The sequence below is a fragment of the Homo sapiens genome, chromosome 2 (genome assembly GCF_000001405.40).
Source record: "Homo sapiens chromosome 2, GRCh38.p14 Primary Assembly".
Lineage (NCBI taxonomy): Eukaryota > Metazoa > Chordata > Mammalia > Primates > Hominidae > Homo > Homo sapiens.
The window spans coordinates 74,063,602-74,091,134 of NC_000002.12; the positions used below are offsets into that span (position 1 = coordinate 74,063,602).

Here is a 27,533-nt window from a genome sequence, read left to right on the forward strand (position 1 = left end):
ATAGACTTATAGAAGTAGCAAATAGAATGTGATTGCTAAGGGATGGGGGAGGGGGAGATGAGTTGTTCAGTGGGTATAAAGTTACAGTTATGCAAGATGCGTAAGTTCTAGAGATCTGCTGTACAGCATACTAAACATACCATATTGTGCAGTTAAAAGTTTAAGAGGGCAGATCTGGCCTGGTGCAATACCTCTGCCTGCAATCCCAGCACTTTGGGAGGCCGAAGTGGGAGGATCACTTGAACCCAGGAGTTTGAGACCACCCTGGGCAACAAAGCCCATCTCTGCAGACAAAAAAAAAAAAAAAATAAGTAAAATAGATTCTGAAAGAAGGGTAGATCTTATCTTTAGAGTTCTTACCAAAAAAAGTGCTGTTCTTCATTTGATTACTTTCTAAGTAAGAAAGCCAGGATAATGCATAATTTTCCCCTTAATTACCAATTGTCAGAATATAAGAGTTGGCTTAATATCACATTTCATCAGTTGGAAGAAGTGTGAGCATATGTGGCTTTATACTACTTAAAAAGCATCTCAAAGCTCTCTGAAGTCGGGATATAGCTTATAATCAATGATGTCTTATACTAGTTGTTGGCCAGGCAGCCATTATGGCACCCGTATACACGCATGAATTTGGTCATAGCTTTTCATATTGTTATCTCGGTGAGTTATGAATATTGTTAGTATTATGTGTGTTAAGATTAAATACTGTTTAAATTGTCTTCAAAAAGAGTACAGTGTGATTCAGTATTGAAACAAAGTTATTGTGTGTAGAAACATGGAAACTAAGCTTCTGAGCATTTCTTTTTTATTTTTTTTGAGACAAGGTCTTACTCTGTCTCCCAGGCTGGAGTTCGGTGGTGTGATTCCCACTCACTACAACCTCTGCCTCCCAGGCTCAAGTGATCCTCCCACCTCAGCCGTTTGAGTAGCTGGGACTACAGGCGTGCGTGCCACCACGCCTGCCTAATTTTTGTTTGTTTATTTGTTTTTTGGTAGAGGTGGGGTTTCACCATGTTGCCCAGGCTGGGCTCAAGCAATCTGCCCACCACAGCCTCCCAAAGTACTGAGATTATAGGCATGAGCCACCACAGCTGGCCCAGATTTTTTTTTCAATAAATATACTGGAACGCTTTTTGGAGATTTGTAAAAAATTTGAAAAAACTGACAAAATGCATAGCCTAGAAATATTGAAAAAATTTATTAATAAATGGTAAATATGTCACAAATACATAAAATATATGTAGATACTAGTCTATGTGTTAATTATCTGTTATCAGTAAGACTTCCAGTCAACAGTAGGCTATTAGTAAAGTTTCAGAGAAGTCAACAGATATATGCAGGTTTTCAACCACACTGGGAGTTAGTGCCCCAACCTCCATGTTGTTCAAGAGTCAACTGTATTCTTGTAAAACATGCAACTCATTTACTGCATTTAGCTTATATTTTTCTTTTTATGTATATATAGTGATAGATCCATCTAAGCAAGTCTAAAAGCTTTTTCAATGAATATGAGATAAAAAGTGAAAGTGATTATGTATAGTATTGCCATGGTTTAAGTGACAAGGTTTATCTTTTAATGGTAACTCATAGAAATTATGCATATTATAGCAGTTAAAATGAAAATGAAGTGAATAGTCACCTTCAAGGACAAAGGAGTGTTTGTTATTTTTTCCTCTTTTCTCTTTTTTGAGCATCATTATGGACTAATGAATATTTATATATTTAATGAGTTTTAGTTACAGTCATTCTTCTTGCTCAGATTGTCCCAAATTTGGCCAGTGGGATGCCCCTTCAGGCCAGCTCCTGTGGTCTTTGGACATACCTCACCCCAGATCATTCTTTGATCATTTCTTTGCTTTTTGTTCAACAAGAAATATCCAGGGCACATCATCCTTTTCCTGCCTCAGACCTTGAATTAACCATTTCTCCAAGACCACCTGATTTCTTTTTTTTGTTTTTTTTTTTTTTGGCTTGGTCACCTGGTTCGTCCGTCCTTCCTTCCGTCCGTCCGTCCGTCCGTCCTTCCTTCCTTCCTTCTCTTTCTCTCTCTTCTTTTCTTTTTTCTTTCTTTCTTTCCCTTTCTTTTCTTCTTTCTTTTTCTTTCTTTCTTTCCTTCTTTCCTTTTCTTTCCCTTTCTTTCCTTTCCTCTTCTCTTCTCTTTTGTTTTTTCTTTTTTTAGACAGAGCGAGGCTCTGTCTCAAGGCTGGAGTGCAGTGGTGCGACCTCAGCTCACTGCAACCTCCGCCTCCCAGGTTCAAGTGATTCTCCTGCCTCAGCCTCCTGAGTAGCTGGGACTACAGGCACCCGCCACCATGCCAGCTAATTTTTTGTATTTTTAGTAGAGATGGGGTTTCACTGTGGTAGCCAAAATGGTCTCGATCTCCTGACCTCGTGATCCGCCTGCCTTGGCCTCCCAAAGTGCTGGGATTTCAGGTGTGAGCCACCGCGCCTGGCCCACCTGGTTCCTTTTAAGGGATAATGGTGTTTAGAAATCAAAACCAGAGAGCTAGGGGTACTTACAGCTACTAGAATGTCATTGCTCTTATGTTTCTCCAGTGGACAGGACCCGAGTTCATAATGATATTTATAATTCAGACTTAACAGTACAGAGGTTTTACTTCTTTGATTTTTATATTTGTATCTCCTTTATGTTATGCTTAATAAGACACTTAATATCTTAGTTCCTAGCTCAGGATCCTTTAAGTACCGTATATAACATTTATTCAATATATAAAATGAAAACTATTTGAAAATGAGACATTTACATAACAAGAAATCGATGGTGGTAGTGTATATATATATGTTACACATATGCATGCACAGAAGATTATAGTATCTGTAATATATATCTTCATATAACATATATGAGGATAATTAAATTTGTACATGTATACTAGTTTGATAACTTTGTTGTAAGTCAGCAACTTTGTTGTCAGATTTCTTCTCTAGAATATCTTTTCCCTTATACTCAGGAGAGGAGACATAAGTAAAAGAAACTGCTTTTAAGAGACTCCTTGGGCTGCCCTGTAAACTGCTGAAAGTGGCTTTGGTTTTGTTTGGCACTTGAAGCTTTCTCTGCCCTTTGTGTTTTAGTGGCCTTCCCAGGGAAACCTGACCAGCCAGTTCTAGGTTGTCTTGGTTTTAGATCTTCGTATCTTGTTTTCCAGCTATTGGGATGGAGTTGCTAAGATTTAGTTTGTGCCTTCTCCTTGAAAATTTCCTTTCTCTGTCCTTAACCGTGTAAGTTTTGAGTTTTTGTGACTTAGGGCAGAAGGTGGTCACCAAAAGCTACATGATGTTTCTCTTCCCAGCATAAGACCCTGCAGTCAATTTGTTACTTTGAATTTTCTCCAGACAATAGCAACTGGAACAGAGCCCAGAAGTTCTGGCATATTCTTATGTTCTATTTTCTGTATACCGTGTGGTCTCCTAGCACCTATAAAGAGCTTTCAGACCACTGCCTCCATCACCCACATTCTCATATTCTCTTTCTCTCCCTCCCCACTCCCCCCTGCTCTCCCTTGGCCTTCTCCTCTCCCCACCTCTTCACATGCATCCTTCTGTAATTCTATTTTATGGTTCAAAATAGTGCCCATTTGGAATGAATCATTTCTAACTTTTTAGTTGAAAATACTCATTCATGAAATGTTTAAGCACTGGTACCTTGCATCTCACCTGATCTTCAACAATTCTATTATGTAAAAACATTATTTTAACTACTTTGAGGCTCATAAAGGTTGTGTAATTTGCCCACAGTCACATAGTTTGTTTGGCGGAGCCTGGACAACAGCTACCTGTTGAGCTTATGTTATGTGCCAAATACTGTGCTAAGCCCTTTGTGTATTTTACACATAGAGGCATGAGGATTAGAGAGGTTGGGAAGTAACTCATTGTAGTTGCCCAGGTTTCCGTCTGCAAGATCAGTATTTGTTATTCTGTGCTACATTAACAATTACGTAACAATTATGTTTTATACATGCCTCAATAATTGACATTGTATACAAGATGCTCTAGAAGTCCAGAGGGAAAACACCCTGAGAAAGTTCAATAGGGCTTCGCAGAAAAAGTGGCATTTAAACTAGGCCCTTTCTTGGAGCTGGAGCTGCAAGGAAAGAAAGGGAAAAAAAATGAGTTTTTCCAAAAGGAGAGATCCAGAAAGGCACTGTTGTCAGTGAGAAAACATATTTAAGGTTACATGGGATACCGAGTGGTTGTGTGGCAGAGCCCTTAGTGGCTGGGACAGGTTGCAAGGCAGGGAGGTGTGTGGAGATGGTGTGGTGGGGACTTTGTGGACCACATTCTGAAATTTAGATTCTGTCTTCTGTCCAGCGTGGTATAATAATGGAAAGTGATGTAAACAGATTTTTGTTTGGGGACTATAACTGGTGGTATTGGGTAGGATGACTTAGGAGGGCTCAGACCAACTGTTAGGAGACCATGGTGATAATTGAGGCAAGAGCCTGACCCAGGACAGTAGGGAGGGGTGAGGAGCCTCCATGAGTAGACGCCGTCAGTGGCAAGCTACTTTGATCAGGTCAGGTCATCTGCCTGGCTGCACACTCCATGGCTGTTATTTTTTTTTTAATTTTTAATTTTTAATTTTTTTTACTGGAACACAGCTGAACTCAGTTTAAACTTGCTTTTACTCTGCTATTCTTAGAGTTCGTAATGACATATGTATATACCTTTATGCTTGTACGTGTGTGTATGTACAAATGTATGTGTGATTGTGTGTACACGAACTAGCATCTTATACATGCTGTACTGAAATTTTTTTTCTCCCACTTAAAATATCTTGGAGGTCATTTTCTGTCAGTAAATCTGAAGCTACTTAATTCCTTTTGACAACTGCTCAATATTTCATTATATGGATATGCTGTAATGCATTTAACTAGTCCATAATAATGGACATTTAGGTTATTTCTGATATTTTTCCATTACAAACAATGATATAATGAGTATTCTTGTTACATAGGTCATTTTTTACATATACAATTATAACCAAATTCCTAGAAATAAATTTTTTGAGGAATTTGAAATTCTTTGAAATTGCTAATTCAAACAGATTGTGCATTTGTCATTTTAATGTATTGCTAAATTATTCTTTATACTGCCTGTATCCTCACCAACACAATGACTTATCAGACTTTTTGGTAGGGACTCCTCTGAAAGAGGGAAAATGACATCTCATTGTAGCTTTATGCGTGTTTGAGCCATTTGCATTTTTCAAGAACCATTGGTATCTTTTTTTCATTTTCCTCTTGTGTTGTTGACCTTGTTCAGCTATAGTAGCTCTTGATATATTAAGGAAATTAGCCTTTTGACTGATGTGAGTTCCAGATCTCTCTTCCCAGTGTGATGTTTGTCTTTCAGCTTGACTTTCAGTAGTTATTACAAAGTTTTTCTTCAGTTGATTTATCAGGGTTTTATTTATTTATTTTTGGGAGTGGCTTTGGAATTTTATGTCATACTTAGAGAAGACCCTTCTTCCTGATTATTTTTTAAAACTTCCATTTTTTTCCTTCTAGCACGTGTATAGTTTAATTTTTTTTTTTATTTTAATCTTTCAGCCATTTGGAATGGATTTGGGGGATAAGGTATTAAGTATGGATCAAACTTTTTTCCCGCAGTTGTCCTAACACTACACATTGAAAGTTTTATCTTTCCCTATTGATAGGAAATGCCATTAGGTATCTTATGTGTAGGTCTTGTCTGCCTGGCTAGATCATACAGTTTTTAAAGGCAACAGTCAGGTATTATTCTATCTTGTATGCCCCATAAAGCTGAGCATAATGATCTGGATAAAATAGGTATTAAATTAATTTTTTACATTTAAAAAATTGTGATTTATATAACATAGGAAAGTACCTGAAACATTCACATAGAGTTTAATGAAATTTTATAAAATGAACCTGTGTGACCACCACCTGGATCAAGAATTAGACCACTTCTAGCCCCCCAGGAGTCACCTCTATGCCCTTTCTTATCTTTTTTTTTTCCCTTGATGCAGGGTCTTGCTGTGTCACCCAGGCAGGAGTGCAGTGGTGCAATCATAGCTCACTGCAGCCTTGAACTCCTGGTATCAAGTGATCCTCCTGCCTCAGCTTTCCAAGTAGCTGGGACTATAGGCACATACCAACAAGCCTGGCTAGGTTTTTATTGTTGTTATTTGTTTGTTTGTATTGACAGGGTCTCACTATGTTGCCCAACCTGGTCTCAAACTCCTGGACTCAAGTGATCCTCCCCTTGGCCTCCTAAAGTGCTGGGATTACAGGTGTGAGCCACCGTGCCCCGACCTGTATGCCTTTCTAATCACATTCCTCTCCCATCCCCTAGAAGTAACCATTCTCTTAACTTTTGTGACAATGATTTCCTTGCTTTTCTTTTTATTAAGTTGAACCATATAAAATTATCATTTTTTGATAGGTCAAACATCATTAACTGTCTGCAATTTCATATTTCAGCCTAGTAGTTTTTACTCACTGTGTATGGATCTCTAAGCAGTATAGTTTGAGTCTGTTATTGAATATCATTTAAATGGAATCTTAACTGTATTCTGCTGTATTAGTCCATTTTCACGCTGCTGATAAAGACATACCTGAGACTGGGTAATTTATAAAGAAAAAGAGGTTTAATGGACTCACAGTTCCACGTGGCTGGGGAGGCCTCACAATCATGGTGAGAGGCATGTCTTACATGGCAGCAGACAAGAGAGAATGAGAGCCAAGTGGAAGGGGTTTCCCCTTATCAAACCATCAGATCTCATGAGACTTATTCACTACCATGAGAACAGTATGGGGGAAACTGCCTCCATGATTCAGTTATCTCTCACTGGGTCCCTCCCACAACACGGAATTATGGGAGCTACAATTCAAGATGAGATTTGGGTGGGGACACAGCTAGACCATATCATCTGCGCTGTGCTGCTTTCACTCACTATGCTGTTGTAGTCAACCATGCTGTTGCAGGTTTCTGATTTTCATTGCGGAATATATTCCATAATATCACTACTGCATTTCAAGAGAAATCCATTCCACTGTTGCTGAATTATGGGTTGTGTCTTTATTTGGACTATTTTAACAAAAATACCGGCCAGTCCCAGTGTCTCAAGCCTGTAATCCTAGCACTTTGGGAGGCCGAGGCAGGCAGATAGATTGAGCCCGGGAGTTGGAGACTAGCCTGGGCAACATGGCAAAACCCTGCCTCTACAAAAAAATAGAAAAATTTGCCAGGCATGGTGGTGCACACCTGTAGTCCCAGCTACTCAGGAGGCTGAGGTGGGAGGATCACTTGACCCTGGGAGGTCGAAGCTGCAGTAAGCTGTGATCATGCCATTGCACTCCAACCTGGGCATCAGAGTGAGACCCTGTCTCTAGAAAAAAAATCCCATAGTCTGGGTGGTTTAAATAATGAACATTGATTTCTCACAGCTGTAGAGGCTGAGAATGCTAAGATCAAGGCACCAGCAGATCTGGTGTCTGTCGAGGGCCCTCTCTTAGCTTGTAGACAGCCACCTCCTCGCTATATCTTCACATAGGAGAGGAGAGGGAAAGGGGAAGCAAGCTCTCTGGTATCCCTTCCTATAAGGACACTAGTGCCATTCAGGAGGGTGCCACCCTCTTGACCTAATTACCTCCCCAAAGCCCTACCTCCAAATGCTATCCCATTGGGGATTAGGCTTCAACATACAAATTTGGGAGGGACACAAACCTTCAGTCCACAGCAGGCTGTCTACAGCTTTGACTCTTGCAGACAGTGTTGCTGTGAAAATCTTTGTATGTGGGTTTTAATGTGTGTGACTAAGATTTCGCCTAAGGATCAGCAAATTGTGGCTCACTGTTTTTTTCTTTTACTTTTTAAATACTTTATTTTGAAATAATTTTACATTTATGGGAGAGTTACGAAGTTAGTGCAGCGAATTCCTGTATACCCTTTATATACTTTCTCTTGCTTGTAAATGTCTTACGTAATTATGGTATATTTAAAATGAAGAAATTAACGTTGGTACAATACTGTTAACTACAGACTTTTTGGATTTCATCAGTTTTTCCACCAATGGTCCTTTTTCAGTCATAGGACCCAATGTAGGTTACTCTATTACATTTAATTGTCATGTCTTCTTAGATATGAAGCAAACTTACCAACTGTAGTACAGTAGGTACACACTGTGTGTATAGTTTTTTTGTTTTTAGCCTCCTAATATCCAGCCACATCACTGTTTTCCAAAGCTGCTACTATGTAGCCTTTTGGGTCTGTTTTCTTTCACTTAGAAAAACTCATTTAAAATTCATCCATGTTGTTACGTGAATGGTTGGTTCCTTTTTACAAATTGAGTTGAGCTTCACGTAAAATTAACCATCTTAAAGTGAACAATTCAGTGGCATTTAGTACATTCACAATGTTGTACAACCACATCTCCCTCCAGTTTTAAAATATTTTCATGATTCCAAAAAAACACCGTTACCCATTAAGCAGTTACTCCTCATTCCTACCCAGCCCCCAGCCTCTGGCAACAACCACCAGTTTGCCTTTTTGTTTCTATAGATTTACCTATTCTGAGTATTTCATATAAATGGAATCATACAATGTGTGACCTGTTTTGTATCTGGCTTCTTAACAAAATGTTTTTGGTGGGGCACAACAGCTTATGCCTGTAATCCCAGCACTTTGGGAGGCCAAGGTGAGTGGATCACCTGAGGTCAGGAGTTCGAGACCAGCCTGGTCAACATGGTGAAACTCTGTCTCTACTAAAAATACAAAATTAGCTGGGTGTGGTGGTGCATGCCTATAATCCCAGCTACTTGGGAGGCTGAGGCATGAGAATTACTTGAACCTGGGAGGCGGAGGTTGCAGTGAGCCAAGATCGCGCCATTGCACTCCAGCCTGGGCAACAAGAGCAAAACTCCATCTAAAAAAAAAAAAAAAAATGTTTTCAAGGTTCATCCATATTGTAGCATGTATCAGAACTTCTTTTATTTAAATTGTGGTAAAGTATGTATAACTTAAATTTGCCATTTTAATCATGTTTATGTGTACAGTTTAGTGGCATTAATTACATTCACAATATTGTGCAACTGACACCACTGTCTGTTTCCAAAACTTCATCAGCCTAAACAGAAACTCTGTCCCATTAAGCAATAACCCCTCATTTCCTGCTCCTCCCAGCCCCTGCGAACCTCTCATCTACTTTCTGTCTCTAGGAATCTGCCTCTTCTAGATAATTCATATCAGGGAAATCCTACAGTATTTGTCCTTTGTGTCTGGTTTATTTTACTTGGTATAATGTTCTTAAGGTTCATCCTTGTAATAGCATGTATCAAAACTTCATTCCTTTTTTGGCTGAGTAATATTCTGTCATGTGGACATACGCATTTTATGTATCCATCCACCTGCTGATGGATGATTATGTTGTTTTCACCTTTTAGTTGTGGTGAATAAATGCTGCTCTGAACATTGGCATACAAGTATCTGTTTGAGCCTCTGTCTTCAGTTTGATTGGGTATTTACCCAGGAGGGCTTCTTTCACTTAACAAAATGTTTTTGGCCGGGTGCGGTGGCTCACTGGAGGGAAGTAGCTTGCTGACCCCTGGTCTTGAGTGTGTATCTAGAAATGGAATTACTGGGTCAGGCAGGATGCAACTGTTTAGCTTTATTGGATAATGGTAGGCGGAATCCCAAAGTGCTTAGATCACAGCTTTGACAACACTTGGTTTTATCAGATTTTTAAATTTTTGCCAATTTGGTCCATATGTGATGGTGTTTTATTGTGATTTTAATTTGTATTTCCTGATTTCTAATGGAGTTGAACACCTTTTCACATGTTCATAAGCCATGTGGGTTTCCTGTTTTCTAGCATGCCTATTAACTTTCCTGTTGGTGGTTTGCTTTTCTAAATTAATATTGACTAATTGATATTCCAAAAATGTTTACTCTCTGTGTTTCTGCAGAACAAATAGTGGAGAAAGATGAAGGTCCATATTATACTCACTTGGGATCTGGCCCCACGGTCGCCTCTATCCGGGAACTCATGGAGGAGCGGTGAGTGATACACAGATGTCCAAGGAGAAATGGATGTGCTGTTAATGGAATACGGATATTAAGCGCCTCTCATTTTTCTTTGCCTTGTAACAGACAATATACAGAAAGGAAACCCTGATAACGGGCTTAGGGAAGGTTTACTGTGGGATCCTCACTTCCATTGTTTCTGGGTTTCTTTCATTCTGTAGGTCTGCCCAATTCATGTCCCCCTGCTTCTCTCTGTCTTGAAATGTTTTTATGGTTATATGGCTCTATGTCCTGTAGAGTTAGTTTCCTACATCTGAATTTTGCTGATAGCTTTCCCGTGGTATTGTGGTATCATTAAAAGTGTTTAACATGCCTCTATGTCCTATAAATTGGTAGTTAGACCAAAAGCCCTGATTGAGATCAGGTTATTTTTCCTTTTTTTCCAAAACTACCTCATAGGTGGAATTTTTTACCTCCCCTAAGAGGAATATAATGTCTCACTCCTGGCCAGTGGAAACCTACTCAGGTTGTCCCCTAAATCCTTTGGACAGGATCGTAGGAGTGTTTCATAGCTTTCTTGATTTCTCATATGACAAGATATCCTGGGTTCACATTGTACGTTTATCCAAGAAGTCCTGGTTCCTTTTATTGGAGGAAAAGGTATTTAGAAAACAGACTCTGTCTACTAGGGGCACTCATGACTACACAGGGGTTGTTCATTGTTTTTAGGCTGCTTATGTAGAAAGAGCTATGTTGAATCTGGATTTTTCATTTTTGTTACTGCTTAGTGATTATATACATCATGAGTTTATATTGACACTCCCAATTCAAATTCAGGACTCTAGGGTTTCTGTTTACTAGTTGTGGTTTTTGAGCAGTTCATGCAGATGGAGACTTGGAAACCCATGTGCGTGTCCACGGCAGGTAGTAAACACTCTAAGTTCGAGTCTATGGCTCAGGGGCTGAGAGCAGGGACTTGAGCCAGACTGAGGCCCAGTCCTGGCCCTGCCACTCACTGCTGAGTCCCTAGCAAGTTGTTCTGCTCTTCTGTGACTCAAGTTTTCTTATCTGCAAAATAGAGATGCTGATAAAAACACACTGTAGGAGTGTCCCGAGGATAAACTGAATTGATGAATTGATGTGTGGAAACACTTAGTGCTTGTCATGAGGACTATGGAAAAGGTAGATAGTCATTAACTACCTCACAGACAAATGCACTGATTGCATTTTTTAGAACAAGCATTAGTGTTTTTTGTTTGTTTGTTTGTTTTGTTTGTTTTTTTTTGAGACGGAGTCGTGCTGTCACCCAGGCTGGAGTACAGTGGCACAATCTCAGCTCACTGCAAGCTCCGCCTCCAGGTTCACGCCATTCTCCTGCCTCAGACTCCCAAGTAGCTGGGACTACAGGCGCCTGCCACCACGCCTGGCTAATTTTTTGTATTTTTAGTAGAGATGGGGTTTCACCGTGTTAGCCAGGATGGTCTCGATCTCCTGACCTTGTGATCCGCCCGCCTCGGCCTCCCAAAGTGCTGGGATTACAGGCGTGAGCCACTGCGCCCAGCTGCATTAGTATTTTAATAATAAAAGCTAAGATGATGTAGACATAAGCATATGCTTGCCCATACATATACATACAGATAAGTGGAAAGTTGTGTGGCTTAGAGTTGTCGCAAATTTGGGAACCCCATTTTGTCTGACCATGAGAGCCAAATACTTTTTTTTTTTTTTTTTTTTTTTTTTTGAGACGGAATCTGCTCTGTCCTCCAGTCTGGAGTGCAGTGGTGTGGTCTTGGCTCACTGCAACCTCTGCCTCCCAGGTTCAAGCAATTTTCCTGTCTCAGTCTCCCGAGTACCTGAGACTACAGGTACATGCCACCACTCCAGGCTGATTTTTGTATTTTTAATAGAGACGGGGTTTCACCATGTTGGCCAGGCTGGTCTCGAACTCCTGACCACAGGTGATCTGCCCACGTTGGCCTCCCAAAGTGCTGGAATTACAGGTGTGAGCCACCGTGCCTGGCAAGGAGCCAGATACTCTTGTCTGTGTAGCAGGAAACATGATTTTGAGCTGAATGACTATAACAGCTTCTCTGAATAAATAAAAGGTAAGATACATGGAGGACAGTGATCTGCAGTCATCACTGTTAATTTCCTAGACCATCTGGGAACATTTATATTCACCAGTCTGTAAATTCCAGCCTGGTATGAGGGCACTTCTGAGTCCATGAGCATGAGACAGATTTGAAGCTGTGTGCAGTGTTGTCGTGCTTGCCTGCATGTGCTCACATGCCTGTGTGTTGTAGTTTGCAGATTAGACCAGGCAGCTTCTGGGCCGGTGATTTTTGTAAGGAATCCTGACACTATCATTTGCTGCAGGGGAGTCAAATGTACAAGTTTGATCTGGGGCAGGTTTTTTGTTCTGGGGTATTTTGGGGTAACAATTTTATAAGATTTCCAGACAGCTCTCTTAAACAACTTTTCATTATAGAAAAGTATTTTGAAACAAGGATCAAGAGATCTTTGAAATTTGGTAAGATAAGGTTGACATATGTCTTTTTTTTTTTACCCCCTGATTCTTTAAAAATAACAGCCAGCTGTAGACTCTTCAGAAACTGATCCAAGGGAGGAATTCCTCTCAAGACCAGGAATACTTGTGTTTTTCCTTAGCAACTGGTTTATTTTTATCTTAAGGACCTTGCAAATCATGTAACAGATTGCAGTTCCATCTTTACGTTGCCTGCTAGTAAACTTGGAGTCAGATTTGTGTACCCCATCAGGAGGAAGGTAATTTCTCATCTTTGGCCCATAGAACCTATTCAGGTTCATTCCTCTGGGTTTTTTTTTTTTTTTTTTTTTTTTTTTTTGTCTATTTTATTTTGTTTTGTTTTTGACATGATCCTAACAAGCCTTTTTTGGATTTCTCATATAACAAGATATTCCAGGCTTGTCTCTCAAAAATACACACGAAACCCCACTGATTGTATTTTGTGTACCAGCATACCTTTTTTTTTTTTTGCCCTTTACTCTGATTTCATCACCTGTTAGTTTTATCTTATAGATATCTTCATAAGATCCTTTCTGGAACGAGGGGAGTAATGAGTGATTGATGCAAATCCCCTGGGTAGGGGTCTAGTTTGTGAATGGTAGGTCTAGGCTGTCTCTTTTCCTAGACTCTTCCTCAACCCTTTCTCTTCAGGACTGCTCTGCTGTCAGGAGTTGGCTGAAGGCAGGGAGGGGAAGTAAACTGAAATCAGGGAAACCTGGTTCTCTTAGCTTTTCCAGTAAAGATTTTGGAGAAAGGAGGGGAAGGTTGAAAGCAAATCCTAAAATGTCCCAACTTATTTATGAGTGTCATACTTTGTGGGTACCTAGGTCCTTATCTTCATAGATAATTGGAGTCAGTTGTCAAACTCGTATCTGAGACCGGTGCACAGCACAGAGCCTTGTGTGTTCTGTCTGGGAAGGAGATTCTCTGCAGCCTAGGAGTTCATTAAATGCTTGTTCTAGGAACAAAGAACCAACACTGCACTAGCAGGTTCTCTGAGATTTGGGGGAACTGGTCTCATTACTGTGTGACAGAGACAATCCTGAAAAGGCAAAGCCTCAGAGCAGTGGTTGTCAGACTTCAGTGGGCCTCAGAGTCTCTAGAGGGTTTGTTAAAGCACAGATGACTGGGCCCCACCTGAGTTTCTGACCCAGCAGGTCTGGAATGGGATCTGAGAATCTATGTTCCATTCCTACCAAATTTCTAGGGGATGCTGATGCTGCTGGCCCTGGGACCACCCTTGGAGAGCCAGTTATCCTTTAGAATAAGATGATTGGCTTGTATGATTAGTTATCCTTTAGAATAAGATTTCAGGCTATCTATGCAGACTTAGTTGAGGGTCTGATAGTTAATCTGAATACTAGAAGGGCCTCTTCATGATAGGCCAAAAAGTAAGGCACTTGAGAAGAAAGAGCTAAAATGAGAGTTGATTGGCTGTCTTTAAACACAAAGAGACAGTCAGTTCTGTTTTTGTTTTTGTTTTTGTTTTTTTAAGTCTAGCTGATCAGACAGTGCTTGGCCCTTTTATTTGTCTAATGCGAGGTTCACTGCAGGACATGTTTCTCACAGGGGCGGGATGGTGGGGAAGGTCCTGGTTGGAAAGTGGTGGCAGTGTCCTCAGCTCACCCTCCTGCGAGGAATGCGATAGTGCTTCCGTCTCAGCGAGAGGAGTGTGGTCACCTCAGGCTGTTCTCCCAACAGGGATCTCCACGACACACCAGGGGCCCAGGCCCTGCCCTTATGGGTGGCTTCCTGATAAATGCTTGTTGAAATGAAAGTTGTCCAGGAACCAGACAAAAGCAGCATTATGTGATCTTTTCCTCTTCATCCAGACCATGCTATATAAACCCCTGAGTCCTGTCTCCAAATGCTTTCTGTAAGAGAACAGAGCCTTAGAATTTTAATGTTGTAATTATCAGAAACAGTTTTCATCCTTTTGCTAAGATCTTGAGTGAAATAGAGAACATGGAACTCAGAGGAACCTTAGATCAGCATTTTAAAAAAATGTTTGTGGCCTGACAAGAGCTTGTTTTAAAAAATTAATTCGTTAATTAAAAAAAAATTATAAACTGTTCTCTTTTTCAATTACAAAAATGAAACAAAGGCTTTAAAAGTCTAAAGAACGAATAAAGCGCTAAAGTTCAATGCTTATTTTTCAATATTTTCTAAGGATTTACAAAGATATTTGTATATATACAGAGATAAATGTATTAATATGTATATAGAGAAGTTTTAAACCAAATGTGGTCCATTATACCCACTGTCTGTAGCTTGCTTTTTCCCCCCCACTTAATTTCTTTCCATGTCAGTACATACAATTCTACCTAATCATTTTTGATGGGACATGGTTTTTCATTGCATGAAAATTGATATTTTTTGTGAAATTTATTATAATGTATTTAACCAGTCTCATGTTAGACATATAAGTTGTTTCATTTTTCTGTTGTTGATGAGACAGTGAATTATCTTGTTCCTAAAGCTTGGTGCATTTGTATGGTTATTTCTGGGGTGGAGATTCCTAGAAGTGGAGTGGGTAAGATAAAGAATATGTGTATTCTGAACTGTAGAAGCTATGATAACATTCATGCTCTATGAAATAGTATATTAAAATAACATGCCATGATCAAATTGAATTTATTACAGAAATACAAGGTTATAGTATGCTGTGTTAATTGCTCAAATAAAAAACATTCAATCATCTGTCTCCTTATGTGTTAAAAATATATTTTATAAAAATAATTCTTGATTAAAAATCCTTAGGACAGGAGACTCTTAGTGGCACCCTTCAAAGTAAGGAAATCTGTCGCTTTCCCAAAGTTAGCCAGTTTCATGCTCAGTGATGAATTGTTGGAAACATTTTCAGTAAAGTCGGGAAGAAGCAGAGATGCCCGCCAGCCCTTCAGAAACTTGGCCAGGCCTGGCATGCGTGGCTCACACCTGTAATCCCAGCACTTCGGGAGGCCGAGGCGGGTGGATCATGAGGTCAGGAGTTCAAGACGAGCCTGGCCAACATGGTGAAACCCTGTCCTTACTAAAAATACAAAAATTAGCTGGGCGTGGTGGCAGGCACCTGTAATCCCAGCTACTCGGGAGGCTGAGGCAGAGAATTACTTGAACCCGGGAAGCGGAGGTTGCAATGAGCCGAGATTGCACCACTGCATTCCAGCCTGGGCGACAGAGTGAGACTCCGTCTCAAAAAGAAAGAAAAAAAAAGAAAGCCCCTGGCCATCTTAGGTGCTTTCTTTATGGCTAGAGCTATAAAGAATAGAAGGGAATAGGTGGCAAATGACCATTATCTGCAGGTGATATGACATTGCACCTGAAACTAAAAAACTGTTAAAAATAAGAAGATTCTGTAAGATGGCGTTTACATTATTAAAAATAATTACTGTTTATTGGACTCTTTCCTCATGCCAGGAACTTCAAAGCACTTTAAATAATATACTCCCTGTGGACTATTGTTTGATCTTTACCAAGCCCAGGAGGTGGGGATCATTTTAATCTCCATTTTACAGATGAGAAAACTGAGGCTTAGAGAAGTTTAGTAATTTGGCCACAGTTATATAGCAAGACAGTGGCAGGGCTGGCACTCACACCCAAGTCTGTCTGATGTCCAGGGCTGTGCTTAGACCACTGCTGCCTCTTTGTAGTTGTGTGGCCTTGGATAAGTCAGTTCAACTCCAGGGGCCATAGTTGCACCATCTCTGAATATAGTGTGGTTGATTAGACAGTCCTAGAGAGCTGGGGTTCTGAAGCCCTGAGTGTGTGGGGGAGCCAGGGCAGGTGACGTGTGCAGGAACCAGATGTGTTTACTGTCCAGGGGAACCTCAGAGCTGGCGTTTGGGCTTAGTAGAGCCACTTCTCCCCAACCTCAGCTGTTTGTCATCATCATGGTCAAATGTCATCTAGGGATTATTCAAAGAGAATAATAAGGGTTCCCCCATTTATTTCATTTGTTATATTTATAAATAGCTAACTCTCAGGGTGACTCAGCTAACAGGGCTGGATACAAATGCCCATGTTTAGCCTTTGGTTTCAGTTCCCTTCTGGAGTTCGGAGGTAACGATCAGGGACATTCTGCTCGGCTGTCTTTCTGCCTTGGATCAGAGGGGGCCCGATGGGCGGGAGCAGAGAAGGGGCAGGTGAACCTGGAAGCCTGGAAGTGGCCGCTGTGTCTCCAGAGCCTTTAGGTACCAAATAACATTTAAACCTTTCTCTTTCTTCTCTGTTGCCCCCGACGGTAACCAGAAACTCAAACAAAAGCACACTGAGGCTGTCTTCTGACCAAAAGTTGTTCTCCTTTGGGGTTCTGCTGTGCTAATGGTGGCTTCTGTCTCCCTCTTCAGGTATGGAGAGAAGGGGAAAGCCATCCGGATCGAGAAGGTCATCTACACGGGGAAGGAGGGAAAGAGCTCCCGCGGTTGCCCCATTGCAAAGTGGGTGAGTGTTGAGCCCACTCAAGAGCCACAGCTGTGCCTGGTTCCCCTTGCTGCATGGCCACGGCTGTGCCTGGTTCCCCTTGCTGCATGTAGCTGAGCAGGCGAGGGCGGGGGGTGGGGCCAGGTGGGTGTGTAGGAGACAACATGTTGACTGTCCAGGGGAGCCTTAGAGCTGGAATCTGGCTCAGGGTTAGGGTCATTTCCCCCAGCCTCAGCTGTTTGTCCTCATCTTGTTTAAATGCCAGTCCCCGAGTCTTGGGTCAGCCTTGGAACTGTGTTAGTCTTCACACTCGGCTCATCCTGTCCCCGTGGCTCAGGGCCGGAGGGGTAGGAAGGGAAACTGGGGATGCTGTCATGACCCGTTGATGGGCTCCACTGTGGACTGTCAGACTCCTTGTCCCCTTCCATGTGCCCTGGAGCTGCCAGTGCTTTTGTCTGCTGCCTGGAAGCCAGAGACAAACCTGAAGGCTAGCATGCTGAGATCCAACCTGAGGGAAGAGGCCAGGGCTCTGGGCAGCACTGTGGGCCAGTCTTGCCTCTGCCTTGCTTCTAAGCAGTTTCCTACCAGGCAACCTAGACATCTTCACAGGGAGAACATCAGTGACTCAGACCCCAAGTCACCAAACAGAGTCCTTCTGACCTTGCCCTCCCAGTCCACAGGGAGATCTTTAAATAGCAGAGCATCTGCCTCTGCAGAAGAAGTGCTGAGGAGGAGCAGCCAGGTTCCTCGGGTGCCTGCAAGCTCAGCCTCGCGCTGTGCTGGGCAGTGGGTATGGGTGGAAGACGAGGGCTCGGTCCCTATGTTCAAGCTGTTTGTGCTCTAGAGACATATGAAATAAAGTCATGGAGACTGGGGTCGTTGAGAGGCAGACTTGATGCTGTGGTTCAGAGGAGGAGGAATGCTCAAGCTAGGTTTCCCGAGGTGAGCGTGCCAGGGGCCATGAATACTGGCCCGTTACTAGTCAGGCTGAGGAGAGGGAGGAAGCATTCCCAGTGAGGAGAATCATGTGGGCAAAGGCAGAGAGGCTGGGTGGACAGACCCGTGGCTGACTGTGAGGGAGGCGGGTAAGATAACCCCTGTCAGCATATGTCCATCTGTGCATGTTGTAGGAAATTCTGACATATGCTACAACATGTGTAGGACGTATGTGCCTGTTTTTACCTGGTATACACCCTGTGCCTTTGTGTCTTTGTGTTTGGTGAAAATAAAAGGTGTCTGAACTTGAACTACCAAGTTTACTATTTTTAGCAATTTTTAGTCAGCATTGCAGAATTATATACAACCAGAGAATCTGGAATCACTTAGTGTATTCATAAGTATGAAGAAGCAGGCTGCCCCCACCCTCTTGAGAGGTGGTCATTGCAGTGAGAAGTCTGATGTGGCTTATCATGGTGGGGTGTTACCTCCCCAGAGAACCCATCAGAGAAAAGACGTCAGCCGTAGAGTGACAGCTGCCCCTTTCTCCTGCTAATTCATGCAGTCATTGAGGAATTCCAAAGTCTTGGACATAAAAATGAAGATCTTGGAGCATAGGTAGAGTTGGAGACTTTTCCAGCTTCAAGACAGTTGGCCCCTTAAAGAATAGCTGGTCCTGTGGGTGGCTTAAAGAAGATGCATTTCTAGACCCCGGTTACAGTGGTAAAGCGATAAGTCCTGGTCAGGGCTCGTGTGGCCCCACTGAGGGCTGGGAAGAGCACACTTGCCTGCAGACTGGGGCCAGTTCCTGGGGCTGGAAGAGGAAGGCAGGAGGATGGAGGGGCAGGAACTTTGTCCTCAGTATGCCATTGCTCTGGGGTCTGTGGACGGATGCCCAGAGCAGGACGCATGGGGCGCAGTGAACTGGAGGTTACATTCAAGGAGGGAACAACTCGTGGGTGTCACTGAGCCCTGGTGGGTGAACATAGAAGGTGCTGATAGTGTTTGCAGAGGGTGGGACTTCCCATGTCTTATGAGTGAAGAGAAAAGGAGAGGAAATACTTTTTTTTATGGGAGGAGCAAATGGGTGGTCAATCACAGAACTATTGTAGTGGCAAGAAAACGGCAGTGCTGAGGGCTTTATTTTTTCTGGCCATCTCCTTTAGTGTGGTGGATTTCTGGGGTTTTCTTTTGGCTACACAGCTGCCAAATACCCTATGTTTTTTGGTAAGAGGGCTTGGTTTAAAGAGTTCCACCTCCTTTGGAAGTTGAAGAGGAGTTGGGTGCTCCTTCTCCCTGCCCTGCAGGGAAAGTGACCCACAGATGCTTAGAAGGACGGATTATTCTTGGTGGCAGTGTAGCGTCAGGAGCCCGGAGCCGGTTCTGTGGCCACGGGTGAGTGCAGGCATCCAGTGTCTCCTGTGCATGTCCCCACCCTGCCTGGTACAGTGTCCAGAGCCTGGCTTTTGTTTTCCAACCAGGATTTGTGCCTGTGTTTCAGCCTCTCCCTAGCCCCCAGCCATACCTTCAGCTTAAAGCAGTGTGCCTCACATGTTCTGCACTTGACTGGCCAGGATTTGGGGACACAGTCAAGGTACATCATGGGTGCCCAGCAAATGTGTGTTGAGAGGATGACCTAGGAAGCAGTGGGTCAGCCCAGAGAGCCCTCTGATCATCTGTGATTTTAAGGTGGCCTGTACAAAATACGGAAGATTCCAGGCGTGCCCTGGTTGCACTCTGAAGGCTCAGAACAACAGAGGCATGCCAAAGGCAACACCTGGCAGCAAGATGGGCTCTGGGAAAGAACTCCAGAGATGCTGCCCATACTGGTGTGTAAAGGTCACAGAGATCAGAAGGCAGGTACTTGTAGGCTCATTAGGGACACAGTAAAACAGACTTAGGAAGCCGCAGGTGTTAGAACCAAGTACCGTGGTGGGAGCTGTGGGAAGACAGGGTTGGGGTTCTGCTGGGGGTTATGTTACTCTTGGTCTGGTGCTCAGGGAATTCTGCCTAGAAGCTGGATGAGCTGTTGAGGATCCTGTGGCTGAGTTGGAGCCATCTCTCTTGCTCTGCTCAGGTATGGATGTGTTTGTGCCTCTGTCAGCCTTTGACTTTGACATTTTGTGTGTTTCATCCTGCCAGGCTCCTTCATACGAGTGTGGGTAGGGAACTCCTCTGTGCTGTTTTCTTAGTTTTTTTAGTGCACCCAGGGGCCTGTGAGGATGGGCCACAGATAGCTGTCTGCTTGTGTCTAATGACATTGCGTGTTTGCCATTTGGGAAACCAGAATGGCATGGCCTCAGTCACGGCCATGACTGGTTGGGTGACTTGTGTGCTCTGAATGCCTCACACATGAGTGTGATTGGCTGCGTTCCCCCTGGCCAGGAGCAGAAGTTGACCATAGTGCCTCGCAAACCCTAGTCACAGAGACCATGGCCTTATCAGTGTCCACAGATGTGCGTCGATGCCCGTGATGCACTCAGCCTAATCTGCAGGAAGCCAGGCAATCACGTAGAGAGTTCTAACTCAGTATCTGATTTAATACCGTGTTCAGGTGTTACTGATAGCCAAAATACACATATCAAAAGAATAATACAATTGATGCTTTAGTGGGGAAGCACCGTTCTTGCCGTGCCTCAGAGCAGGAATTCATGGCCAGAGATGTGTTTTGTTCAGCATTGCAAAGTATCCTTTCAAAGTCTGAAGGAAATTCCGGCACATGCTACAACATGGTTAGGACATTACATTAAGTGAAATAAGCAAGTCATAAAAGGATAAATACTGTATGATTCCACTTACATGAGGTACCTAGAACAGTTAAATTCAGACGCAGAAAGTAGGCTGGGCGCAGTGGCTCACGCCTGTAATCCCAGCACTTAGGGAGACCAAGCGGGCAGCTCACCTGAGATCAGGAGTTCAAGACCAGCCTGGTAAGACCATGTCTCTCTCTTTTTTTTTTTTTTTGAGATGGAGTCTCGCTCTGTCGCCCAGGCTAGAGTGCAGTGGCACGATCTTGGCTCACTGCAAGCTCCGCCTCCTGGGTTCACGCCATTCTCCTGCCTCAGCCTCCCAAGTAGCTGAGACTACAGGTGCCCACCACCACGCCCAGCTAATTTTTTGTATTTTTTAGTAGAGATGGGGTTTCACTGTGTTAGCCAGGATGGTCTCGATCTCCTGACCTCGTGATCCACCCGCCTCGGCCTCCCAAAGTGCTGGGATTACAGGCATGAGCTAACGCACCCAGCCCAGTGAGACCCCGTTTCTACTAAAAATACAAAAAATTAGCCAGGCGTGGTAGCATGCGCCTGTAGTCCCAGCTACTCTGGAGACAGTGGGGAGAATTGCCTGAGCCCAGGAGGCAGAGGTGTTAGTGAGCTGAGATCGTGCCACTGCACTCCAGCCTGTGCAACAGAGCAAGACTCGGTCTCAAAAAAAAAGAGAAACAGAGGCAGAAAGTAGAACAGTGGTTTCAGGAGGGGAGAATGGAGAGTTCCTTAATGAACAGAGTTTGTTGTGCAAGATGAAAAAATTTTAGAGATGGGTGGTTGTGATGGTTGCACAGCAATATGAACATACCTAATGCCACTAAACGGTGTACTTTGAAATGATTAAAATGGTAAATTGTTCGTATATTTTTCCACAGCAAAAAAAAAAAAAAGAAAATTGGAGCACTCATGTTTTTGGAGAGGGATTTTATGTAAAATCTGGATTTCCGTTTTTTTCTTCAAAATTGGAAGAATTAGCCTCACTGGGCTGGAATTTCCCCCAGGCGGTAGTTGATGGCAATAAGGCCTGGCCTCCCCCTGTTGATGGGGCAGATGCTTTTCACTTTGCCACGGTCCACACCACCCACTAGTCTTGCATCCGGCCCACCTTCCTCATTTGTATTGCCTGCCTGGCTACCCCTTTCAGGGTCTCCCAGCACGATCCACTCGTGACCAGGTCTGTCTGCAACCCAGCATCTCCTGACCTCCAGACCCACTCTGGGGGGTATCCTTAGAGACCACTCAGGTGCTCTAAGGCAGTGGTCCCTAACTTTTTGGCACCAGGGACTGGTTTCGTGGAAGACCATTCAGGCATTAGATTCTCAAAAGGAGTGCACAACCTAGTTCTCTCACATGCGCAGTTCATGCTCCTATGAGAATCTAAAGCTGCTGCTGATCTGACAGGAGGTGGAGCTCAGGCGGTAACGCCCGCTCGCCTGCTGCTCACCTCCTGCCGTGCAGCCCAGTTCATAACAGGCCACAGACCCAGTACAGGTCCGCACCCTGGGGGTCAGAGACCCCTGCTCTAAGGTACCTCAGCCTCAGGATGCTCCCAGTTAACTTGCCAGTAAACCACACCCATGCCCACTCAGTCTCCTGAGCCACAAAGTGTGGAAGTCACTCAGGGTTTTTCCTTGTCCCTCAGCCTCAGGAATCCATTCTTCTCCTGTTTTCTTACCCCTTGCCATAGTTAGGACTTTATTCATTTTGCTTGCATTATGTCAATGGTGTTCCAGCTGGTCTCCCCGTCTTGCCCTTCTCCCGATTTTCTGCCCCCACTTTCTAAAGCATGAAACTCTTTATGTAAGCCCCCTGCTCACCATCCTGCGTGGAGTTCCCGCCTCAAGGCCCTGCCCCTGGGCCTGACACTCGGAGCCCTTCCCAGTCTACCCTCATCCTTCCCCTGCCCACAGGCCCTCACATCTTATCTGGTCATGGAATTATCTGGCATTCTCTGGCAATTTTCAGCCACCTCCTTCCCCAGCTCCCAGGCCTCTTGGCCCTGACATCTTTTTATAAACCAGGACAGTGTTTAGGAATTAATGAGAACCCAGACCTCAGACCTGGATCCTGAGCAGCAGAGCAGTGGATGCCCAGGGCTCTCGCTTAAAAAAAAAAAAAGTAGCTTTATTGAGATACAATTCTCGTACCATACAGTTCACACATTTGAAGCATATAATTCAATGGTTTTTGGTGTAGTACATTTTTAAAATTGTGGTAACAGTGTATAAACAGGCTGGGTGCAGTGGCTCATGTCTGTAATCCCAGCACTTTGGAAGGCTGAGGCAGGAGGATCACGTGAGCCCCAGCAGTTCAAGACCAGCCTAGACAACATAGTGAGACCCTGTCTCTTAAAAAATTTTAAAAAGTTAGCCAGGCATGGTGGCGTGTGTCTGTAGTCCCGGGTACTCAAGAAGGCTGAAGTGGGAGGATCGCTTAAGCCCAGGAGTTTGAAGCTGCAGTGAGCTATGATCATGCCACTGTACTCCAGCCTGGGCAACAGAGTAAGACCCTGACTCTAAAAAAAAAAAAAAAAAAAAAAGTTTGTGTAGAAATAAAATCTAACATTTTAACCATTTTTCAGTGTACAGGTTGGTGGCATTAAGTACATTCACGTTGTTGTACAAGCATCAACCTAGTCTATTTCCAGAACTTTTTCAACATCCTGTACTGAAACTCTGCACCCATTAACAATAATTCTCCATTCTCCCCTTTCCCAGGCCCTCGTAAGCTCTAATCTACTTTCTGTCTCTCTGAATGGAACTGTTCTGGGTGTCTCATGTCAGTGGAATCATGTACTATGTGTCCTTTTGTGTCTGGCTTATTTCACATAGCATGTTTTTGGGGTTCATCCATGTTGTAACATGGATCAGAATTTTGTTTCTCTTTAAGGCTGAGTAATACTTGGTTGTCTGTCTATACCACGTCGTACTTACCTGTTCATCAACCGATGGACCCTGGGGGTGCTTCCACCTTTTGGCTGTTGTGAATAGTGCTGCAGTGAACGTGGGTATTCAGGGATCTGCCTGAGTCCTGCTCTCAGTCCCTCGAGTGTATTCCTAGGCATGGAATTGCTGGATCATATGGTAATCCTATGTTTAGCTTTTGGAGGCATTGCCAGACTGTTTTCCACAGTGCCAAGCCCCTTGCATGTTAACTAAAAACACACAGGTAGGCAGCATTTTCTCTGCAAATGTTTTAGGATAACATAAAAATCTGACTGTATTTTGGCTTACAATTTTTATCTGTGTATTTTTACTCCTAAGCCTATGTAAGTCATCAGCAACTTAGATTTTGTGGTAATTATTTTTTATTTCACTCTCAAAATAACTTTTATGTTTTTGTTCCCTAACAAAACATTTGTTCCTAATAATGTTCCCTATTTGTTCCCTAATAATGGTCTCTTAGCTTGTAAGGTTGCTGTCTTCAGGGCATGACATCCCTAGAACCCTGCCGTTAAGACCTGCACCCTGGGTCTGTGTGACAAAGGGAGGGGTGGCACCATGCAGAGGAGCACGGGTACCTGGCTCCTGCCCCTCACACCCTGCGTCCCTGCAGGTGATCCGCAGGCACACGCTGGAGGAGAAGCTACTCTGCCTGGTGCGGCACCGGGCAGGCCACCACTGCCAGAACGCTGTGATCGTCATCCTCATCCTGGCCTGGGAGGGCATTCCCCGTAGCCTCGGAGACACCCTCTACCAGGAGCTCACCGACACCCTCCGGAAGTATGGGAACCCCACCAGCCGGAGATGCGGCCTCAACGATGAGTATGTAGCAGAGGGCTTCAGGGCCAGGGCCCACCTATAGGGTCCTGGGCAGCAAATACAGGAGACTGCAGGCAACCCTGGGGAAGGCTCCTAGGGGCCCTCTCTGCGGCACTGTTTGTCCTGCACAGTTAGGACTGTGGTTGAGGAAGGCATATCCACAGATCTTGCTTGAGCTGGGTTCTAGCTCTGGCTCCAGAGGGTCTACTAGTTTGACTTCACCGTTAAACCCCAGGTCGATAACACTGGCACTAATGATATTAGCGAGTGTGAAGTACATGTGCCCCATAAATAGAAGGTATCGAAGATATTTACAAAACCTGCCCTTGGCCAGGCGTGGTCCATGCCTATAATCCCAGCACTTTGGGAGGCCGAAGTGGGTGGATCATAAGGTCAGGAGTTTGAGACCAGCCTGGCCAATACGGTGAAACCCCATCTCTACTAAAAATAAAAAAATTAGTCAGGCGTGGTGGCACACACCTGTAGTCCCAGCTACTCGGGAGGCTGAGACAGAAGAATCGCTTGAACTCGGGCGGCGGAAGTTGCAGTGAGCTGAGATTGCACCACTGCACTCCAGCCTGGGCAACAGTGAGACTCTGTCTCAAAAACAAAAACAAAAAAACCCTGCCCTTATCAGAGTTTTTCCCATTTTTAAAAATGAAGGTATATTTATTTACAATAAAATTCATCCTCTTAGGTATATAGTTTTGACAAATGTTTACAGTCACGTACCTACCACCACCACAATTAAGATATGCAACAGGGCTGGGCATGGTGGCTCATGCCTGTGGTCGCAGCACTTTGGGAGGCCAAGGCGGGTGGATCGCCTGAGGCCAGGAATTCGAGACGAGCCTGGCCATCATGGCGAAACCCTGTCTTTACTAAAAATATAAAAATTAGCCAGGTGTGGTGACACATGCCTGTAATCCCAGCTACTAAGGAGGCTGAGGCATGAGAATCACTTTCACCCAGGAGGCAGAGGTTGCAGTGAGCCAAGATCGTGCCATTGCACTCCAGCCTGAGCAACAGAACAGGATTCCGTCTCAAAAAAAAAAAAAAAAAAAAAAAAGACATAGAACAGTTCCATCTTCCCCCCGAAGTGCCCCATGCATGCCCTTTATAAGCAAGCCCTCCCCTAGCCCTGGGCAGTCACCGGTCTTGTTTCCTGTTCCTGTAGGTTTACCTCTGTGAGAATGTCACATAAATGGGATCATACAGGGTGTAGCTTTCTGAGTCTGGCTTCTTCCATTGAACATAGTGTTTTCAGTGTTCATCTGTGTTGACGTGTGTGTCAGTAGCTCGTTCCTTTTTATCAATGAGTCGTAATCCACTGTGTGGATCTATCATAGTTTGCTTATCCATCCCCCAGTTAGGGGCACTTGGGTTGTTTCCAGATTGTATTAAGCGTTAATTTTCATCTCAGTATACTTTGTTGAAAGGCCTGTTAGCATCTGGGCTATAGGAAATAGACACGTTCAAACCCTGGGGCTCACATCATTTCCCTGTTCATATGGCCTGTCCTGGAGCTGGTTAAGATATTAAGTTAAGGGAAAGTATAAACGTTAATGGGTTTTTACCAGATTCTTCCCCCTTACTTCCGTAAACCCATGTGCTACTCCCAGCAACAGACTCAGTGTTAGACCTGCAGGCTCGCAGTGGTGCAGGCAGCAGAGGCTGCTTAGATCTGGCTTCCTACTCAAGGAAACTTGAGAAAGGGGTTGGGGGTGGGGAAGGATGAGTCTCAGTCACTGGGAGGCTGGTGGGTGCCAGGGCTCAGCAGGGCCACCCCTTGAGGGAGGAGGAATACTCCAGAACGAAGGGATATTGCATCTATATCCCTGACCTGTGCTGTGTGTTGCAGCCGGACCTGCGCTTGCCAAGGCAAAGACCCCAACACCTGTGGTGCCTCCTTCTCCTTTGGTTGTTCCTGGAGCATGTACTTCAACGGCTGCAAGTATGCTCGGAGCAAGACACCTCGCAAGTTCCGCCTCGCAGGGGACAATCCCAAAGAGGTGAGCAGAGCTGGGCGGGGACCCTGCCTCCCATCCTTTCTCGCCTGGCGTCCTTCATGGTCCAGCGGGAGGTAGTACTGGCACGCCATGACTCAGATGCACAGGAAGTGGAACTTGTTTTCGTTTTTTTAAAAGCTGACCTTATCTTGCTGTGAAATAAGGGGTGTGTGGAGGGCACCAAGTGTGAAAAATTAGACTTAGCAGTTACGGGTGCCCCAGGCTCTTCCCATGTAAACCATCTCTTTTAGGTAAATACTCCAAATATCGAAGATACATATTCAAATCGCTTGTCAGAATTTGGCCCTCTCAGAGGTCATTTCTCCCCCCCATCTTCCCAGGACACCTTTCTAGGTGTGAGGTTTAGCAGGAAAGGCGGTCTCCCGCATGTGGGCCATCCTCTGGGCCTTTGCTGTACTTCCCAAGGTATCTCCCACCCTGCCTGGCTGCCGGACAGATGTCTCTGGGCAGTCATCCGGGCCCTTGCAGTCTCCATGCTGGGGGCCTGGCCTGGTCCCTGGGCTCTGGACTGGTGTCCATACAGTATGACCGCTAGGCACGGCACCTTCTCTCTGTAGGCTCCTTACCCAGACCCCTGCCCTGCAGGGCCTCCCCCAGCCCCAAGACAGCAGGGGAAGGCGCCCTCAGGCTGTGGGGGCCGGAGCATCTGCTCAGGCCGCCTCCCCTCTGTTGTTTGTCCTCTGATGCCTGCATGGCAAAGGCCCTCCTGAGAGGCGGTCTCCACTCAGCTCCAAATGCAAGGAAGGCACAAGCCTATCCAGGTTGTCTGCCATTTTACCTTCCTTCTGCCTGGGCTCCTGAGCGGGTGGAGTGCTGGCTTCCTTTGCTAGGATACAGACAAATATCCAAATACGTGAACTCAAGTTGCAACCTTCCAAATCTCTCCAAGCTCCTAGTACCAGAAGGGCTTCCCACTTCCCGTGGTGCAGGGACACCCTCTCTACACCAAAGCCTATGTCACCTTCTGTGCTCTGACTGCCAAGCTTGGGTCCTCATAAGAAAAAGGAAGCATTTTCAAATTCAGAACTCTTTGTTTACCCCAGACCTGGCTTTTAGACTTAAATAGTCT

The 27,533-nt window shown here is 44.3% G+C and overlaps 1 protein-coding gene across 16 annotated transcripts in view, besides 1 other annotated feature; it reads left to right on the top strand.

Moving 5' to 3' along the window:
- The window catches only part of TET3 (tet methylcytosine dioxygenase 3), a 151,868-nt gene that overhangs the window by 79,971 nt on the left and 44,364 nt on the right, over window positions 1-27,533 (top strand). For all 16 annotated transcript variants that reach the window (XM_011532683.3, XM_047443659.1, XM_017003566.2 and 13 more), the window contains 4 exons: window positions 9,948-10,038; window positions 16,897-16,990; window positions 24,229-24,437; window positions 26,296-26,446. In XM_011532683.3, coding sequence (XP_011530985.1) covers window positions 9,948-10,038; window positions 16,897-16,990; window positions 24,229-24,437; window positions 26,296-26,446 — 545 coding nt within the window. The remainder of the gene's footprint in view (window positions 1-9,947; window positions 10,039-16,896; window positions 16,991-24,228; window positions 24,438-26,295; window positions 26,447-27,533) is intronic.
- Window positions 22,113-22,612: an enhancer, noted in NCBI's record as "H3K4me1 hESC enhancer chr2:74312841-74313340 (GRCh37/hg19 assembly coordinates)". NCBI's record gives its function as "activates a minimal SCP1, AML or CMV promoter by ChIP-STARR-seq in primed H9 embryonic stem cells {active_cell/tissue: H9 hESC(primed)}" and the evidence as "EXISTENCE:reporter gene assay evidence [ECO:0000049][PMID:30033119]".